At 45.1% G+C, this 19861-nt stretch overlaps 1 protein-coding gene and 2 pseudogenes across 6 annotated transcripts in view, besides 1 other annotated feature; 2 read left to right on the forward strand and 1 right to left on the reverse strand.

The window, feature by feature from the left end:
• UBE4B (ubiquitination factor E4B) overlaps positions 1-19861 on the forward strand; it is a 148282-nt gene that overhangs the window by 18531 nt on the left and 109890 nt on the right. The gene's annotated exons all lie outside the window — the stretch shown is intronic.
• RPL21P21 (ribosomal protein L21 pseudogene 21) lies at positions 2924-3293 on the reverse strand (annotated as a pseudogene).
• PGAM1P11 (phosphoglycerate mutase 1 pseudogene 11) lies at positions 7185-8166 on the forward strand (annotated as a pseudogene).
• Positions 7711-8641: an enhancer, noted in NCBI's record as "H3K27ac-H3K4me1 hESC enhancer chr1:10119257-10120187 (GRCh37/hg19 assembly coordinates)". NCBI's record gives its function as "activates a minimal SCP1, AML or CMV promoter by ChIP-STARR-seq in primed H9 embryonic stem cells {active_cell/tissue: H9 hESC(primed)}" and the evidence as "EXISTENCE:reporter gene assay evidence [ECO:0000049][PMID:30033119]".

Here is a 19861-nt window from a genome sequence, read left to right on the forward strand (position 1 = left end):
TAGCAAATAGACCGTGGCTTATGTGAAAGGTTGGGTTGGAATCCTCTCCCCCGACCCATTAGTTCCAAAAATCTCTTCTCACCCAGGGGCCATCTTTTGTATTGAGCCACACTGCTACCACTTTTTCTAAAACGTGGAGTGATTGGTGGCCTGAATGTACTAAGAGGGTGAAGGTGGAGTGTAGAGCTTTGAAAGGGAAAGAAGAGTGTGCAGAAAGGGGACTCGAGGAGTCCCAGGAGAAATGTTCTGCATATCAGGACTAAAGAATACAGCCTGAGGTGACACACTTTACTCCCATCAGATGACTTATTTTTGTCTTCTGAAAGAATTGTACCCCTCCCAGCAGGGGGAGAAAATCTCTGAATTGGATGTCATTGTATTAACTACTCAACAGCTGCTAAATCTTTGGCATCTTGTCCAGTTCTTTGGCAGCAGTGTCAAGACTGGGAAAAGAGGTATCTTTTGGGTCCTAGATTGAGAAGTGACTTTACCTTTCTAATTAAACATGACACATTCAATGCATATTGCTTCTTTGTTCCCTGTCAGTGCTTGGTATAAATTCTAGATGTCTAATAGTGTCATTTTTTTTTTTTTTTGAGACGGGGTCTTGCTCTGTCACCCAGGCTGGAGTGTAGTGGTGCCATCTTGGCTCACTGCAACCTCCGCCTCCTGGGTTCAAGCAATCCTTCCACCTCAGCCTCCCGAGTAGCTGGGACTATAGGTGCATGCCACCATACCTGGCTGATTTTTTAATTTTTTTTTTTGTAGAGACAGGGTCTCACTATGTTGCCCAGGCTGGTCTTGAACTCCTGGGCTCAAATGATCCTCCGGCCTTAGCCTCCCAAAATGCTGGGATTATAGGCATGAGCCACTGGGCCTGGTCAGTGGTGATTTAATTAGTTAGATTTTCTGACTAGATGAGGTAGCACACTGCTTTAATGGACGTTTTTGGGAATTGAACTTCTAAGATGTCCGGGTAGATCATATTGAGCACCCATCGTGCCAGGCACTCCTCAGGAATCATGTCTGTGATCATGGTCTTTTGTTAGACCTGTGTCTATACTTGTCACCAGGGCCAGCTTCACAGGCATGTGACTGCAGGCAGAGGTGCCCCACGCTTGGTTTAATGCTCTGCTGTTGCTGTCTTGAAATTCTTAATACATTTGAACAAGGTAGCCTGCATATTCATTTGTCATGGGGCCCTGAACATTCTGTAGCTGGTCTTGGTTGTCATTGACTTTTTCTGTGTGGGTGGATATATGCCTGGGTAGATGTCGTAGTTCATTTGGACTATTATAACAAAATGCCATAAAGTGGGTGGCTTGTACACAGCAGCAATTTGTTATTCACCGTTCTGCATTCTGGAGGCTGAGAAGTTCCAAGATCAAGGTGCTAAGAGATTTAGTTTCTTGAGAGCCAACTTCTTGGTTCATAGATACCTGTTTTCTCACTGTGTCCTCACTTGGAGGAAGGAGCAAAGGAGCCCCCTGGGCTTTCTTTTATAAGGGCATTAATCCGCAGGTCATCAGGGGTTCCGCCCTCAGGACCTCATCACATCCCAAAGGCCCCATCTCCTAATTTCATCAGCGACCCTCCCACCTCAGCCTCCCGAGTAACTGGGACCACAGGTGTTTACAACCGTGCATGGCTTTTATTTATTTATTTATTTATTTATTTTGAGTCGGAGTCTCTCTCTGTTGCCCAGGCTGGAGTGCAGTGGCGCGATCTCGGCTCGCTGCAAGCTCCACCTCCCAGGTTCACGCCATTCTCCTGCCTCAGCCTCCCAAGTAGCTGGGACTACAGGCATGCACCACCATGCCCGGCTAATTTTTTTGTATTTTTAGTAGAGACGGGGTTTCACTGTGGTAGCCAGGGTAGTCTCGATCTCCTGACCTCGTGATCCACCCGCCTCAGCCTCCCAAAGTCCTGGGATTACAGGCGTGAGCCACTGCGCCTGGCCTATTTATTTTTTATTTAATTTTTTTGAGATGGAATTTTGCTCGTCGCCCAGGCTGGAGTGCAGTGGCACAATCAAGTTCTGGGGTATATGGGCTGGATGTGTAAGTTTGTTACATAGGTAAGCGTGTACCGTGGTGGTTTGCTGCACCTATCAACCCATCACTTAGTAACTGAGTCCAGCATGCATTAGCTATTTTTCTTAATGCTCTCCCTACCCGCTGCATGGCTGATTTTGAAAACTTTTTTTTTTTGAGACAAGGTCTTGCTATGTCACCCAGGCTAGAGTGCAGGAGTGCAGTGGCGTGATCACGGCTCACTTGCAGCCTCGACCTTTCGGGCTCAAGTGATCCTCCCACCTCAGCCTTCTAAGTATCTGTGACCACAGGTGTTGCCACCATGCCTGGCTAATTCTTTTATTATTTGTAGACAAGGCCTCGCTATGTTGCCCAGGCTGGTCTTGAATTCCTGGGTTCAAGTGATCCTCCTGCCTTGGCCTCCCAAAGTGCTGGGATTACAGGTGTGAACCACCATGTCCATCTGATATTGAATCTTTAGATAACTCATTTTCCTTCATCAAATCTTTTTTTGTTGTTGGGGTAGTAATTAGAAATATTAGATTTTTTTTAAAAAAAAAGACAGGATTTTTGACACATAAACATTTATTTCCATATTCTTTTTTTAATTTTTATTTTTGTAAGCTATTTTATTTCTTCCATGATGATTTAGAGGGACTATCTTCAAACCAATACAAATATTTTGTAAGTAATATCTGGCTGTTTTCTAACCAATTGAGTAATTTGTTGCACAGTAAGCCACCTCACATCTTTCAGCAAGAAATACATTAAATTTGAATAGTAAAGACATGGCATAATGAATTAGGACACAATTAAAATTTGCTTTAAATAGTTCTTTGGGCGAGGGGACACCACACTTCTACTCAATGAAGAGAAACATTTTGACAGTTCAGAGGTCTTTTATTTTTTTCACACCTCTTATGCCATGAATTCATAGGTAATAGGTTCCAGCAGCTCAGGCTTCTTCCCATTGGTTCTCACACAGTGTGCTTCTCTGGTACCTTTCTCTTTGGCTTTCTTCTTTTTCTGATCATTTTCCTTCATGAGTTTTAGGAAATGATGCTGGCCTTTAGAGCGCTTAATGTGCTCAATATGCATATTAATTCTCTTGGCAAGACTGTTGCCATTGTTCATTTACTACAATGCCAGCAGCATGCTGGGTAACATTGTAGACTCTTCCAGTCTAGCCATGGTAACACTTGCGGGGCATTTTTTTTGGAACAGTACCCATTCCCTTGGTGTCTGTAATATTATCTTTCTCCTTTTTTTTTTTTTTTTTTTGAGATGGAGTTTTGCTCTTGTTGCCCAGGCTGGAGTGCAGTGGTGTAATCTTGGCTCACTGCAAGCTCCACCTCCCGGGTTCAAGCGATTCTCCTGCCTCAGCCTCCCGAGTAGCTGGGATTACAGGCATGCACCACCATGCCCAGCTAATTTTTGTATTTTTAATAGAGATGGGGTTTCTCCATGTTGGTCAGGCTGGGCTTGAACTCCGGACCTCAGGGGATCCACCTGCCTCGGCCTCCCAAAGTGCTGAGATTACAGGTGTGAGCCACCGCACCCGGCGTGTTTTTACTTTGAACAGATGTCCTTGTGCCAAAAGGTTTGGTGATTTCTAGTTTAGGGAAACATGAATAAAGCATCTTTTGGCTTGAAATGTTATGATTAGAATGGGTTGTGAGTGGGAGAATTTTAATGAATGCCAATTGGAACAAATGCTTGTGAAAATGTCTCGTAGGCCACCTTTTCATCATTTTTTCTTTTCTTTTCTTTTCTTTTCTTTCCTTCTTTTTCTTTTCTTTCCTTTCTTTATTCTGAGACAAGATCTCACTGTTTCCCAGGCTGGAGTGCACTGGCAGCATCATAGCTCACTGTAGCCTTGAACTCCTGGGCTCCGGTGATCCTCCTGTCTTAGCCTCCTGAGTAGCTAGGACTACAGGCGTGTGCTGCCACACCCAGCTAATTTAAAAAATTTTTTTTGTAGCGATGGGGTCTCGTTATGTTGCCCAAGCTGGTTTCCAACTCCTGGCTTCAAGCCTTCCTCCACCACACCCAGCCAACATGGGGCAAAAGTTACCAGAATCAGTTTTATGGAATAGTGTTAGAAGTAGTGAATGCTGGCCAGGCGCAGTGGCTCATGCCTGTAATCCCAGCACTTTGGGAGGCCAAGGTGGGCAGATCACTTGAGATGAGGAGTTTGAGACCAGCCTGGTCAACATGGTGAAACCCTGTCTTTACTAAAAATACAAAAATTAGCTGGGTGTGGTAGCACGTGCCCGTAGTCCCAGCTACTTGGGAGGCTGAGGCAGGAGAATCACTTGAAGCTGGGGATGGAGGTTGCAGTGAGCTGAGATTGCATCACTGCATTCCAGCCTGGATGACAGAGTAAGACTCTGTCTCAAAAAAACAAAACAAAACAAAACAAAACCAGAAGTAGAAGTAGTAGATGCTTAGTCATCTACGTTAATCTTGTCTGTTGAACCAAGTAGGATCAAAGATGAGAATGGAGACCATACCATCCACTTCTATCCCCTGGGATGTTTTTGGTTATAAAGGGCATAAAGTTTCTGCAGCAGGAAACCTTCTTTAAATAACAGAATGCAGTTAAAATTATTCTACACTCAGCATGTTTCTCTGCCATGTAATGTTTGGCAGTTTTAGGCTCTTGATCTTTTTGGTTTCTCTTGCTCCTAATTTCACAATTAGATGACACGTGAGATGCTTTTTAGTGCTTTTGTACACACTCGTATTATTTAGATAAAGCAGAACCCTACACAAAGGGGAAACTGAGCCTAAGAGGAAGATTAAAAGAGCAAAGGGATGGAGAAAACTGCTAGGCTGAAATTATTTTTTTAAAAAAGACTATTTACTGTGTGTCAAGTAAACACTTTTCATTTGTTCAGCAAATATTTACCGAGTGCTCTCTGGGAGTTAGGTACTGTCATAGTTGCTGGGAATACAGCGGTGAATAAACTAGACCAAATCCCTGCTCTCTTGGAGCTTGTATTGTACTGGGTGGGGATAAACTATAAGCTGATAAATACATACTAATTCTAGTTGTTTGTTATATTACCTTTATTTCTGATGACTATTTTATAAGATAAGAAATATTTTGTCACTTTCTTATAAATGGGGAAATCGAGGCTCAGAGAGATAACCCAGCTGGAAACAGGTGCAGCTGGGATCCTGGCCAGCGCTAGCTACGCGATTGCTCATTGTGTAGAGGGCTTGAGAAGATGGGGCCTGGGGTAGCACTTCACTCACCCATTGCACATGGTCTGGTCTCTGTTTCACTTTCAGGTGGACTGCTTCATTCATTTATTCATGAGACAAGGCCTCACTCTGCCACCCAGGCTGGAGTGCAGTGGCACATTCATGGCTCACTGCAGCCTCAGCCTCCCCAGCCCACCTCAGCCTCCTGAGTAGCTGGGACTACAGGCATGTGCCACCACACCTGGCTCATTTTTGTATTTTTTTTTTTCTGTAGAGATGGGGTTTTGCCACACTGATCTTGAATTCCTGGGCTCTGGTGATTGGCCCGCCTCAGCCTTCCAAAATGCTGGGATTACAGGTGTGAGCCACCACACCTGGCCCCTTATTATTCTAATTTGAAGTAATAATATTAATATTTTAAGTATTATGGGTGACTTAAGAAAACACTTTAATTAGGCAGTTTTATGCCTTTGGTCCTTAGTTCTCACCAGCTGGCAGAATGGGGTTAGGCGTGTTTAACGTTCTTCATGTTATCAATTAGATGCAAAAAACACAATTAACAATTTTTGTTACAGTTTATAAAATTCCTTGTATTTTAAAAAAGATATAATTACTGCCTGGCTTTGGAGAATTAAAGGGTCGCAACCTTTTTTTTCTCCCTGAGAAAATACCATTTACAGTCTTTTCTCTTTTTTTTTTTTTTTTTTGAGACAGAGTGTCTGTTGCCCAGGCTGGAGTGCAGTGGCGTGATCATGACTCACTGCAGCCCCAAACTACTGCACTCAAGCGCTTCTCCTGCCTGAGCCTCCTGAGTAGGCACACACCACCATGCCAGGCTAATTTTTTGATTTTTTTTTAGAGATGGAGTCTTGCTGTGTTCCCCAGGCTGGTTTCTAACTGCTGAGCTCAAGCAGTCCTCCCCAGGGAGGTTGAGGCTGCAGTGAGTTGAAATCGTGTTACTGTACTCCAACCTGGCTGACAGAACAAGACCCTGTCTCACAGAAAAAAAAAAAAAAGAAAGAAAAAAGAAAAATGTATTTTGCTAGTAATTGCTAGAAGTTGGCCTTTGTAAGTATTTTGTGCTTTATTTTTGAGATATTTACTCACCTGGGAAAGTTCTCAAGGAGGAGGAAGGTGACTTGCCTTGCCTGCATTCCGGTGGCAGGGAAGCAAGCATGGGAGGCAGTGGAGGGTATGTAGGTAAAGAGAGGAGAAGGAACAGCTGGACTGTCGGATGTGGGGTGACCTTCTCAGGTCATGTCCACACAAGGACTCTTGTGAGAGTAAAAGGGTCTCTGTTACAATTAAAGTGGGAGTGCCAGGAGTACCCTGGGCTGAGGCCAGGAGCCGACATGGATGATCCCCTTCTAGAGGTGACGTGTTTGAGCTGTAGCGGAGTGCTTGGGTAAAAGCACTAGATACTTTAGGGTTTTGATTTGGGAGTAAGTCCTGGACATAGTCATGATATTCTTTGGAGAAGAAATGTGGTTAATCAATCAAGCTTTTTGTAACTGTTGAGTAAACATTTTTTGAGTTGGATAAGTAACCTGGAAAGTGAAGCAGAAAATGATTGGAAAAATGAGATTGCAGGGTGACCGTGCCATTCTACCCCCGTCTGTTTCCACTCTGTCATATTCATCCTGTAACATTTCTCTATTGCTTGGAAGCCTTGGTACTTTACTTGTTAGTGCAGACTTAGGGAAGCTGGCCTCACTGAGCTGTTAGGTTTATATGTGTTAAAACTTGTGCTGGAGAAAGTGCACAGGAGCCAGGCAGTGAGGCATGGGGTGCTGGGTGGTGGGCCAGGGGCACTAGAAGCTGGGCATGGGGTACAGAGCTGGGGGAGTGGTGTGCACTGGGAGCCAGGCAGTGGGGACTCTGGAATCACAGTGACCACAGTCAGTGCTGCATCCTGAGCCCACCAGCTGCCGCCTGCAGGTGGGCAAGGGTGCCTGGCACCTGGAGAAGCACTTCAGCGGCTGGTGTGACACTGACCTGAGCCTTCTGGGAGGCACTGAGAAATGCTGGCTGTGATTTTGACATCTGTGTCACCTCAGGGCGGAAGACAGCAATGCCGACCCCCTGGACAGTATTGGATGCCACTGACCAGATGTGGCTCCCAGTAGTGATGACTTGGTGCACCTCCTGGAGTGGCACTATAAGGGTCTGACTGGCCTCAACAAAGCAGAAGCTGTTGTCAAGAACCATGAGGGCCAGATAAAGATCTGCATGCCGGCTGGGCGCGGTAGCTTGTGCCTGTAATCCCAGCACTTTGGGAGGCCGGGGCGGGCGGATCACGGATCACCTGGCCAACATGGTGAAACCCCCTCTCTACTAAAATGCAAAAAGTTAGCCAGGTGTGGCGGTGGGCGCCTGTAGTCCCAGCTACTTGGGAGGCTGAGGCAGGAGAATGGCGTGAACATGGGAGGTGGAGCTTGTGGTGAGCCAAGATTGCGCCATTGCATTCCAGCCCTGGGGGACAGAGCGAGACTCCGTCTTAAAAACAACAGCAACAACAAAAAGATCTTGATGCCTCTGATGGAGCTGAACATTTATTATACAGCAACAGCAGCAAGGATTGCTGGTGGGCAGACTACACTGTAGGGCACCTGCTCTTCTGTAAGAGTCTGAAGGACACTATTGTCAGAGCTCTGCCCTTTTGGAATGAAGAAATAATTCCCCAGATCCAGGAGGGGAAACAGGTGTTGGTTGAGGCTCCTGGCAGCAGCTTTTCTGGCACAGTCGAGCCTTGGGAGGCTCTCCCGGAAGGGGCCATCATGGAGCTGAGCCTGCCCACTGGTATTCCCATTGTCTATGAATTGAACAGGAGGAGCTTGAAGCCCATTGAGCTCATGCAGTTCCCAGGAGACGAAGAGGCTGTGCATAAAGCCATGGAAGCGTGGCTGCTTAGGGCAAGGCCGAGGCGTGAAGGGCGGCAGCCGATCCCTATCCTGACAACACCCTCCCAGTCTGCCCCATTCCTCTATGCCTCTCACCTCCACGTGTCACAGTGACCACAGCTGTAGGCATCCGAAGTTGTTGAGCGTATCTGGAGGCTCCCATTTTAATTTTAGGCATTTTTTTTTCCACTCCTTTCACACAATCAGAATGGCACCTCTGGGGCATAGGTCTTCAGCCCAAGCCAAGGGAAGGCTTCTTCTACCCAGGAGAGCTGAGGGGTGGCAACTCTGGGGTCTTTGCTAGTGCTTTGTTTACTTGTTTACTAAGACCCTGCTTGAGTAGGGGATGTGGAGGAACCATGCTAAGGCATGACCAATGAGGAGAAGCAAGAGAGCCTGTTTGTATTCCTGGGAGCCAGTCCTGTTCTATTCAGTCGTCAGGTCCCTGTGTGTGTGTGGAGGGGGTTGGGAAAGGTTGGGGGTAGATGAATGTAACCTACATGGTGATTTAAAACAAGCAACTACAGTCATGCATCACTTAATGACAGGGATACGTTCTGAGAAACGCATCATTATGTGAACACTATAGGGTATAGTTACACAAACTTAGATGGCATAGCCTATTCCACACGTAGGCTCTATAGTATAACTCCTTGGATACTTACGGTATGGCCTAGGTATTGCTCCTGGGCTACAAACCTGTACTGCATGTAACTATACTGAATCCTGTGGGCAGTTGTACAATAACAGTGAGTTTTTGTGTATCTAAACATAGAAAAGGAACAGTAAAAATATGGTATTATAATCTTACCGGACCACCAGTAAGATCTGGTGATCTGACATTGACTGAAATGTCGTTATGCAGCCCATGACTGTATTTCCTCTCTGACTTCCCCAGGAGAGCTGGTTCCAGAAGGTTCGGATGAGTCCTGAATGTTTATGTATGGCATTTTCCTTTACCAAAACAAAACAAAAGAAAATAAAAACCTTTCTGGGGTTCTAGTAGCCATTGAAGTACTCCTAAGTGTGGTCATCAGAAAATAAGCCATTCTTTAACACCTTGACTTCTAACGGTAGAGGTTCATTTTGCTGTGTATTTTAGAATCCCTAGTGAGCTAGTGAGATTCTGGACAATTTTTTTTTTTTTGGAGCCAGTCTCACTCTGTTGCCTAGGCTAGAGTGCAGTGGTGCAATTGTAGCTCACTAGGCTCAAGTGATCCTCCTGCCTCAGCCTCCTGAGTAGTTACGACTACAGGCACGTGCCACCATGCCCAGCTAATTTTTAAAATTTTTTTGTAGAGAAGTCATCTTACTATGCTGCTCAGGCCGGTCTTGAGCTCCTGGCCTCAAATGATCCTCCCACCTTGGCTTCCCAAAATGCTAGGATTACAGGTGTAAGCCACCGCAAGAGTTTGTTTCCACCTTCTGTTTTCTGTTTTTTTTTTTATCTCAAAAGACAACAAGATATAAATGAGATGCATTAATGCAGCATACTGCAAACCTACGGCATACTTACTTGTAGAATTTGTAGTACTGGAATCCACCCTTTAATAACGAGGTGTAAAAGGGAGCTATCAGAAGAGAGGAACAGACAACTGGCCACATTTCTGTAATTGTGCAAAACAAGTTTGTTTGTTTTTTTGTGAGACAGAGTCCCTGTCACCCAGGCTGGAGTGCAAGTGGCATGATTTTGGCCCACTACAACCTCCGTTTCCTGGGTTTAAGCAATTCTCCTGCCTCAGCCTACCAAGTAGCTGGGATTACAGGCATGCACCACCACGCCCAGCTAATCTTTTATATTTTTTATTAGAGACGGGGTTTCACCATCTTGACCAGACTAGTCTGGAACTCCTGGCCTCAGGTAATCCGCCTGCTTCCCAAAGTGCTGGTATTACAGGGGTGAGCCACCGCACTTGGCCCTGAGCAAGTTTTTATGGAGGATTGAGTGAAGGGCATTGCCTGGGAGAGTCATCTTTTAAGATTTTTTGGGGTAAGGGATCTCCTTGAAAATCTTGAGGGAATTGAAGGTCCTCCTGGCCTTCATGGGTCCCAGGATTTGGACCCCTGCCCCAGGTATTCTCAACTCTACCCAGAAATCAAGCCGCACCAGCAAAGCTGATGCTTGGATCTCTTCATTTGGGCTACTCTCAAACTTTTTCCTTTGAATCTTGTTTTGCCATTAAGCATCTGCTGATGTTGAGGAGTGTTGTCAGTTACTTACTGTGTTGCTATACGTGTGTAGTGTGTGCTGATCTCACTCCTGGCTTTATCTTCTTTTTTCTTTTTTTTTTTTTTTTGAGACGAGGTCTCGCTCTGTTGCCAGGCTGGAGTGCAGTGGCGCGATCTTGGCTCACTGCAACCTCCGCCTCCTGGGTTAAAGCTTTTCTTCTGCCTCAGCTTCCTGAGTATCTGGGATTACAGGCGGGCACCACCACACCCAGCTAATTTTTGTATTTTTAGTAGAGACGGTGTTTCACCATGTTGGCCAGGATGGTCTCGATTTCTTGACCTCGTGATCCACCCACCTCGGCCTCCCAAAGTGTTGGGATTACAGGCCTGAGCCACCACACCCGGCCCTATTTTTTCTACCATCATTTTGCTTGTGTCCTAATTTCCTTATCTCTTTGAATTAAACTTGTTAATTTAATTAAGTTAAATTAAAAATACATTCGATGTGTGTTTTTTTGTTTGTTTCTTTTGAGGTGGAGTCTCGCTCTGTCGCCCAGGCTGGAGTGCCATGGCACGATCCTGGCTCACTGCAACCTTCACCTCCTGGGTTTAAGGGATTTTTCTTCCTCAGCCTCCCGAGTAGCTGGGATTATAGGCATGAGCCACCATACCCAGCTAATTTTTGTATTTTTAGTAGAGACGAGGTTTTGCCATTTTGGCGAGGCTGGTCTCGAACTCCTGACCTCAGGAGGTCTGCCCACCTTGGCTCCCAAAGTGTTGGGGCTGCAGGCGTAAGCCGCTGTACCGGCCGCCTTAATGCATTTTTTGTTAATCACTTTAAATCTTTCCTAGAACAAGAAAATAATGATAGTGAGGCCAGGTGCGGTGGCTCACGCCTGTAATCCCAGCATTTTGGGTGAGTGAGGCAAGTGGATCACCTGAGGTCAGGAGTTCAAGACCAGCCTGACCAACATGGCCAAACCCCATCTTTACTAAAAATACAAAATTAGCCGGGTGTGGTGGCACATGCCTGTAATCCCAGCGACTCGGGAGGCTGAGGCAGGAGAATGGCTTGTACCTGGGAGGCGGAGGTTGCAGTGATCCGAGATTGCACCATTGCACTCCAGCCTGGGAAACAAGAGTGAAACTCCGTCTCAAAAAAAAAAAAAAAGAAAAAGAAAATAGTGATGGCGAATAAAACAGATGTTGGGGCTGGGCATACTTTGGGAGGCCAAGGCAGGGGGATCACCTGAGGTCAGGAATTCGAAACCAGCCTGGCCAACATGGTGAAACCCCGTCTCTAATAAAAATACAAAAATTAGCTGGGTGTGGTGGCGCATGCCTGTAGTCCCAGCCACTGGGGAGGCTGAGGCAGGAGGATCGCTTGAACCCAGGAGGCAGAGGTTGCAGTGAGCTGAAACCGTGCCTCTGCACTCCCGCCTGGGTGATAGAGAGTGAGACCCTATCTCAAAAAAACAAAAACAAAACAGATGTCGGCAACCTGTAGGACATTTTTGGTTGGGTATTCTTCCAGGTACCTCACACTCAGTAATCTAATCATAACCCATCTTCTTAAAATCTCCTTCTGTATTTTCAATTTTAGGGTATTTTACCATTCATTTAGGTATCCAGGCCTGAAATCTAGATTATTCTTCTTCCTCACTTTTTACTTCCAAATAACAGCCAAGTTCTGTTGGGAACACAGATCAAGTATCTCCAGAGCTGTCCCTTTCCTATGCCCATTGCGCAGGCTTGCTTGTGGCCTGCCTCCATTCGTTCTCCACACAGTAGCTAGAGTGATTTGTTTTAAAAGGTACATCTGGGCCGGGTGAGGTGGCTAATGCCTGTAATTCCAACACTTTGGGAGGCCAAGTCAGGCGGATCACTTGAGGTCGTCAGGAGTTTGAGACCAGCCTGGCCAACATGGTGAAACCCCGTCTCTACTAAAAATACAAAAATTAGCTGGGTGTGGTGGCGGGTGCCTGTAATCCCAGCCACTCAGGAGGCTGAGGCAGGAGAATCGCTTGAACCAGGGAGGCAGAGGTTGCAATGAGCCGAGACCATGCCATTGCACTTCAGCCTGGGCAACAAAAATGAAACTGTCTCAATGAAAAAAAAAAAAAAGAAAAGTACATCTTACCTGGTTATTCCCCTGCTTAAATCCTTCAAAAGATGTCTTTCTTGCCTTCACGAACAAGTTCAGTGTCTTAGGATGGTATTCACAGCTCGTCATGAGCTTGTTGCAGCTTGTCTTTCTTGTCTGTGCCTCACCATGTCCATACACACTCATTCTTACCAACTACTCAGCGTTCCCTAAACAGTGTGTGTGCTCACAAAGCCTCCCAATCTCTGCCGGCGCTCCTTTGTTCCTCGTCTGCCTAACCCCTACCTGTCCTGAAAAAGAAACTTAAGTCAAGTAGTAAGCACATAGCATTTGTATGTGGTTCGATTTTCAAAATTGCTCTCTGGGATGATTCAGTTATTACATGAATATACAGTTAGTGTAAATGAATTTGAATCCTGAAAACCTAATATAAGATGGTGAAAAAAAGGTGATACTCTATGCACAAGCAAACTGCTGATCGCATCTCCGAGGAATTGTAGTATTTCTATGCATACGTGCAGTAAGTAATAGAACATCTTATTGAGCTTAAGCCAAAAATGGGATTTATTTTAAGGATACAGGAGTCTTCTTTCTGAACCTAGGGATAGAAAGATAGCTGGGTCACAGGAAGAGACTGGAATCAAGAATCCAGGTGCTGCCAGGGCTTCCTGTGTCTGCATCATTATCATTACCCTTCAGTTCCACTCTCTATCACCTCGTCTCTTTGTCACTTCCTTTTCCTCTCTCAACAGCCCTGGCTAGTCCATCTCTGTGCCTACTGTGTACTGCTGTACATGGCTAGAGAAAAAAACAAAAGCCATGCTGGTGGGTCTAACTTTTCCCTCAACTTTCTATTCTGGACTTTTTTTTTTTTTTTTAGATAGAGTCTCACTGTGTTGCCCAGGCTGGAGTGCAATGGTGCAATCTCTGCTCACTGCAGCCTCCACCTCCCGGGTTCAAGCAATTCTCCTGCCTCAGCCTCCTGAGTAGCTGGGGTTACAGGTGCCCGCTGCCATGCCCAGCTAATTTTTGTATTTTTGATAGAGGTGAGGTTTCACCATGTTGACCAGACTGGTCTTGAACTCCTGACCTCAAGTGATCCACCCGCCTGGCCTCCCAAAGTGCTGGGATTAAAGGTGTGAGCCACCGCGCCTGGCCCTAAAAATTTTTAAATCTGCAGAAAATTTGAATGACTCACCTAGATTCATCAGTTTATTTTTTGTTACATTCACTTTGTCTGTATATAAATGTGTGTATATACATCTATACACCCACACATACTTGTTGGTTTTGGCTGAACTATTTGAAAGTATGGAGAACCACTAAAGCAGATGGGAACTAGGAGGAAGGAAGGGAAGGCTTCATTGAGAAGGTAACATTTGAGCAAAGATCCAGGTCAGGGAGCAGGATATAGAGCAGTTATGGGGCAAGTGGCGGGAGGAGCATGCGGGGGAGGAAGGCACAGCTCCACAATAAGCAACCACCAGTGCCCAGCTGTGTGTTGAAGGAAGAGGAGACCGCTGTACTTCACTGTATTGTTGTCCACATATTCACCACCCCTGTCTGGGGAAGGTTCTATTTCCCCACGCTGCAGGGGTAGTTTCGGCCCTGTGACTGTTTTGGCCAGTTAAATGTGAACACAATTGAATGTGTCACCGCTGGGCCAGTGTGGAGTTTGCTCTGCCTCTTGCCCTTTGCCTGGGCGATTGCTAGTGTTCCCATTAGAGGCTGCTCTTTCACCCTGGGTCTTGGAGTGAAGACGTTATGGAGCAGGGCTACACTTTCATCTGAATGTTTTCCCACGGTAGATGTAGTGGGAAATAATAATGGTTTTCATTCTTTTCATCAGAAATTCTGTGAAAGAAGAAAGATGAGGAAAAATGGAAATTTACTGTGTCATTGCCATTTGCATTTATGTATAATTTGCACTAATAATAATGTTCATTATAATGTAAATCTACATCCTTTTAAAAAATAAATGGAATCATTATGTGTACCCTTTTGCAACCGGCTTTTTCAATTCAATTTTTTAAAAAATGGAAAATACACATAACATAAAAATATGCCTCATTTTAAAAGCAGTAGATATCGAAGTGAATATAACATATATCATTGTTCCCCTCCCTCCCTCCCCCCCTCCTTCCCTCCCCCACTCCTTCCCTCTCTCCCTCTCTACCTTCGTACCTCCCTCCCTTTGTACCTCCCTCCCTCTCTCCCTTCCTACCTTCCTTCCCTTTTGTTTCTATTTAGAGGCAGGGTCTCACTCTGACACCCCGGCTGGAGTGCAGTGGTATAATCATAGCTCGCTTCAGCCTTGACCTCCTGCCTCAGTCTCCCTAGTAGCTGGCACTACACATCGTGTGTGCCACCATGCCCAGCTAATTTTTTATTTTTTGTGGGATTGGGGGGGGAGGGGGTCTTGCCATGTTCCCCAGGCTGGTTTTGAACTTGTGGGCTCAAGTGATCCCCCTGCCTCAGCCTCCCAGAGTGCTGAGATTACAGGTGTGAGCCACCACATCTGACCATGAATTTTTTTTTTAAGGAAACTGATGAATTTTAGATCACAGAGCTGTGATGTTTGGATGTAAATGCATTTTTTGGAGAAACATTGTTGGGCTTAGATTAGGCCTACTGTGAAATTGTCATAGCATTTAATAAGTTTCAAACATGGCCAGCTGTGAAAAAAGAAAATAAAACCAATAATAATACTAGGAGTTATTGGCCAGGCAGGTGGCTCACGCTTGTAATCCCAGCACTTTGGGAGGCTGAGGCAGGTAGATAACCTGAGGTCAGGAGTTTGAGACCAGCCTGACCAACAAGGTGAAACCTCGACTCTACTAAAAATACAAAAATTAGCCAGGCATTTTGGCAGGCGCCTGTAGTCCCAGCTACTCGGGAGGCTGAGACAGGAGAATGGCATGAACCCGGGAGGCAGAGGTTGCAGTGAGCCAAGATCACGCTACCGCACTCCAACCTGGGTGACAGAGCAAGACTCCGTCTCAAAAAAAAACCAAAACAGAACTAGGAGTTATTGTCATCTTTCCAAGGAGACTACCCCAAAGAGAAAGTATTTCCAATTATTTTTCTTTATATTGGAATTCACTTTTTTTTAAAGTAGAAAAGTAAGACACTTTTGTAGAATGACTGTTTATTAAACTTATAACAGTGTTTTGTGGGTGTTTTTCCCCACAAACTGCTAAAAATAAGAGGAACAGTTTGGCCCATCCTGTCTTAGCTTCTGCCTGCAATCACAATGGCCTTCACTGTTTTGAATCTATTTTTAGTTCATCAGGAACGTGAGGGTGGGAAGTGCTGCGTCATATAACAGATTAGGAGAAAGCCCTATTTTAATGTCGTTTGTGAAATAAGAACTGAAACAGACAAGAAAAACTCTAGGAATGAGATTTCATGATTAGTATGTGTGGCTTTGAGTTGTGGTTTAGGACACAAATTGAGGAATTGGAAGTTCTTTATACTTTTTTTTTTCTCTGTGAGATAGGGGAAAACAAAATTCTCTTAAAAAAGGACTTTTGTTTAACTTAAAGGAGATTATGCCAGTCCTTTGGGTTAATGTTAAAAAAGTCAAGTAAACAATGAGAAAAATGTTTAATCATATTTTGGTGTGTTGTGACTATTTTTTGGTGTGTATCTCATATGTTCTGTTTGTGATAAAAAGTGAGGTTGCATCTCTTAGTAGTCAAATTAATTAGATACACTTTTTTTTTTTTTTGAGACCCGGCTCTCACCGGGTTGCACAGACTGGATTTTATGGCTCTCTGCAGCCTTGACCTTCCCAGACTCAGGTGATCCTCCCATCTCAGTATTTGTTGTTGTTGTTGTTGAGATGGAGTCTCACTCTATGGCCCAGGCTGGAGTGCAATGGCGTGATCTCAGCTCACTGCAAGCTCCGCCTCCTGGGTTCACGCCATTCTCCTGCCTCAGCTTCCCGAGTAGCTTGGACTACAGGTGGCCACCACCATGCCTGGCTAATTTTTTTGTATTTTTAGTAGAGACAGGGTTTCACCGTGTTAACCAGGATGGTCTCGATCTCCTGACCTTGTGATCCGCCCACCTCAGCCTCCCAAAGTGCTGGGATTACAGGGGTGAGCCATCATGCCTGGCCAGTTTTTTTTTTTTTTTTTAAGATGGAGTCTTGCTCTGTTGCCCAGGTTGGAGTGCAGTGGCACAATCTTGGCTCACTGCAACCTCCGCCTCCTGGGTTCAAGTGATTCTCCTGCCTCAGCCTCCCAAGTACCTGGGATTACAGGTGCCTACCACCACACCTGGCTAATTTTTGTATTTTTAGTAGAGATGAGGTTTCAGTATGCTGGCCAGGCCGGTCTCAAACTCCTGACATGAAGTGATCCCACCTACCTTGGCCTCCCAAAATGCTGGGATTACGAGCATGAGCCACTGCACCTGGCACAGTTTTCTTTTCTTTTTTCTTTTTCTTTTTTTTTTTTGAGCAGGAGTCTCGCTCTGTTGCCCAGGCTGGAGTGCAGTGGTGCGATCTCAGCTCACTGTGACCTCCTCCTCCCGGGTTGAAGTGATTCTCCTGCCGCGGCCTCCTCAGTAGCTGGGATTATGGGCGCGTGCCACCATACCTGGCTAATTTTTGGTATTTTTAGTAGAGATGGGGTTTCCCCGTGTTAGTCGGGCTGGTCTCGAACTCCTGACCTCGGGCCATCTGCCTGCCTTGGCCTCCCAAAGTGCTGGGATTACAGGCATGAGCCACTGTGCCCGGCCAGTTTTTGTATTTTTAGTAGAGCCGGTGTTTCTCCATGTTGCCCAGGCTGGAGGTAAACCTTTATACCTGTGATTGCACAAAGCCATTCTCTTGTGAGTCCCCTATCCAGATATTCCCAGGGCCTCAGGTTGCTAAACCAGTTCAAAGTTAACACCAGTGTAGAAGGCATTCAGACCACCCAAGGGCATTATCCTCTACTGAGAGCCCTGCTGTGGGCAGCCCAGAACGCTGCCCCCTGCATGGCTCTTCCTAAATTTTCCAGCGGATCTTTAAGATGGGGCAAAATGTATTCTCCCAATCTTCTCCTACTCCTTCTGTCATGTATGGACCTGCCTCTGTCTCTTAACTCTTTCTTCCTGCTTAATAGTCTGCAACATGCTTCACAAAGTCTTGATTCTTCAACCTTTTTTGAAACCTTAGAATCCTTTCTTTCTTCAACCGCATATTATAGTGAGTCAGAACATTTATTCTCTGTTTATATCACTGAGTAGAACATCTGAATTTAACATCTTGGGCTGAACTTGGCATTGAGGTTTAAGGTGACTTCATATTTTTTCCAACAATAGTGGGTATGCTCTTCCAATGATAATGATAACGTCAACTAATAAATTAGTCAATTTTATGTTCAGTGCATTTTTCTAGTATTTCTCATTTATTCAGCAGATATTTAGAGAGTACCTACCATGTGTCAGACACTGTTCTAGGCACTGGTGCAACGGAAGTTCTTGCTTTTAAGAAACTTCAATTAGGGGGATGGTAACTAAGCAATACACAAATAAATATATCACACATGTCATAGGGCAGATCAGAGCCACGGAGAAAAAATAAGTAGGGAAAGGGACAGGGTGGTGGTTTTCTCACAACCCTGTAAGGAAGATACTGGTTTTTTTCTTATTTTTTTGAGACGGAGTCTCACTTCATCGCCCAGGCTGGAGTGCAGCGGTGCGATATTGGCTCACTGCAACCTCCGCCTCCCAGGTTCAAGCGATTCTCCTGCCTCAGCCTCCCAAGTAGCTGGGATTGCAGGTGTGTGGCACCATGCCTGGCTGATCTTTGTATTTTTAGTAGAGACAGGGTTTTGCCGTGTTGGCCAGGCTGGTCTCGAACTCCAGACCTCAAATGATCCACCGCCTCGGACTCCCCTCGGCCGATGATTTCATCCCCATTGTACAGATGTGCAGTGTACGGATGTCCATTGTGCAGAAACTGAAGCAGAGAGCTGTTAAGTGACTTATCTGGATAGGCTCCAGATAAGTAAAGTAGTCAGTAATAAAGGTTGAATTTGAATTAGAAATCAAGCATGAACTCCTAAATTTAGCTGTCTGTAAGATAATGAAACTTGGCCCGGCATGGTGGCTCACACTTGTAATCCCAGCACTTTGGGGGGCCGAGGTGGAAGGATTGTTTGAGCCCAGGAATTTGAGACCAGCCTGGGCAACATGGTGAGATGCCATGTCTACAAAAAATTAAAAATTAGGTGGGTGTGGTGGTGCATGCCTGTAGTCCCAGCTACTTGGGAGGCTGAGACAGGAGAATCGCATGAACCTGGGAGGGGGAGGTTGCAGTGAGCCGAGATGGTGCCATTGTACTCCAGCCTGGGTGACAAGAGCGAAACTCCGTCTCAGAAAAAAAAAAAAATTACATGCTACACAGAAGACTATATTTAACATATAAACTATGAAGAAGAATAAGATGAATACCCATGAACTGATTACTCATAGTTGTAAGTATACAACCCAGTGAGTTTTCATAAAGTGGACATAGCTGTGACATTAGTATCCAGTTAAAATTAAAAAAAAAAAAAAAAAACCATTACCAGATCCCTAGAATCTCACTCCTGCCTCTCCCGAGCTGCTTCCTGCCCCTTTCCCACCAAGGATAACCATTATCCAAACTAATGGTATAGTTTAGTTTTTCTTATTTTCAAATTTTATAGAAATGGAATCATCCACTCTGTTTTTTTTACATCTGGCTTCTTTTGCTCAGGGGACATGGGTAAATCTGTTAGGAAGCTTTTGGAGATGCCCTGCTGTTAGTAGGAGTTCAACAAACACATTTTGAATGAATGGATTAATTTTTCTCTTTCAATAAGATGTTGCTCTTTAATTATATGTTAAAAGGAAGAAGTGGCAGATTGTATTTTTATTGAATCAAGTAAAAAAAGAAAATCTGATCATTTTGCTCCTACAAGTGATGGTTAAATTTGTGTCTTAGTGTAACTTTTGTTTCTCATTGTTTTAGTGAATTAAATTGGCTATTTATTCATTAATTTATTTTGGAGGTGGAGTCTCCCTCTGTTGCCCAGGCTAGAGTGCAGTGGTGCCATCTCAGCTCACTGCAATTGCCCTCCACCTCCCGAGTTCAAGTGATTCTCCTGCCTCAGTAGCTGGGATTACAGGCACGCATCACCACACCTGGCTAATTTTTGTATTTTTAGTAGAGACAGGATTTCACCATGTTGGTCAGGCTGTTCTCGAACTCCTGACCTCGTGATCCTCCTGCCTCAGCCTCCCAGAGTGCTGGGATTACAGGCGTGAGCCACCACACCTGGCCAATTGGCTATTTATTTTTAAATCTTACCTATTTGAAATGACCAAGTTAGGTCATTTTATTAAAATAACAACAAGCTTTAGTGTGTTACAAGCATAGGCTGGGCATGGTGCTTCATGCCCATAATCCTAGTACTCTGGGAGGCCAA

Source organism: Homo sapiens, chromosome 1 (assembly GCF_000001405.40).
Source record: "Homo sapiens chromosome 1, GRCh38.p14 Primary Assembly".
NCBI lineage: Eukaryota > Metazoa > Chordata > Mammalia > Primates > Hominidae > Homo > Homo sapiens.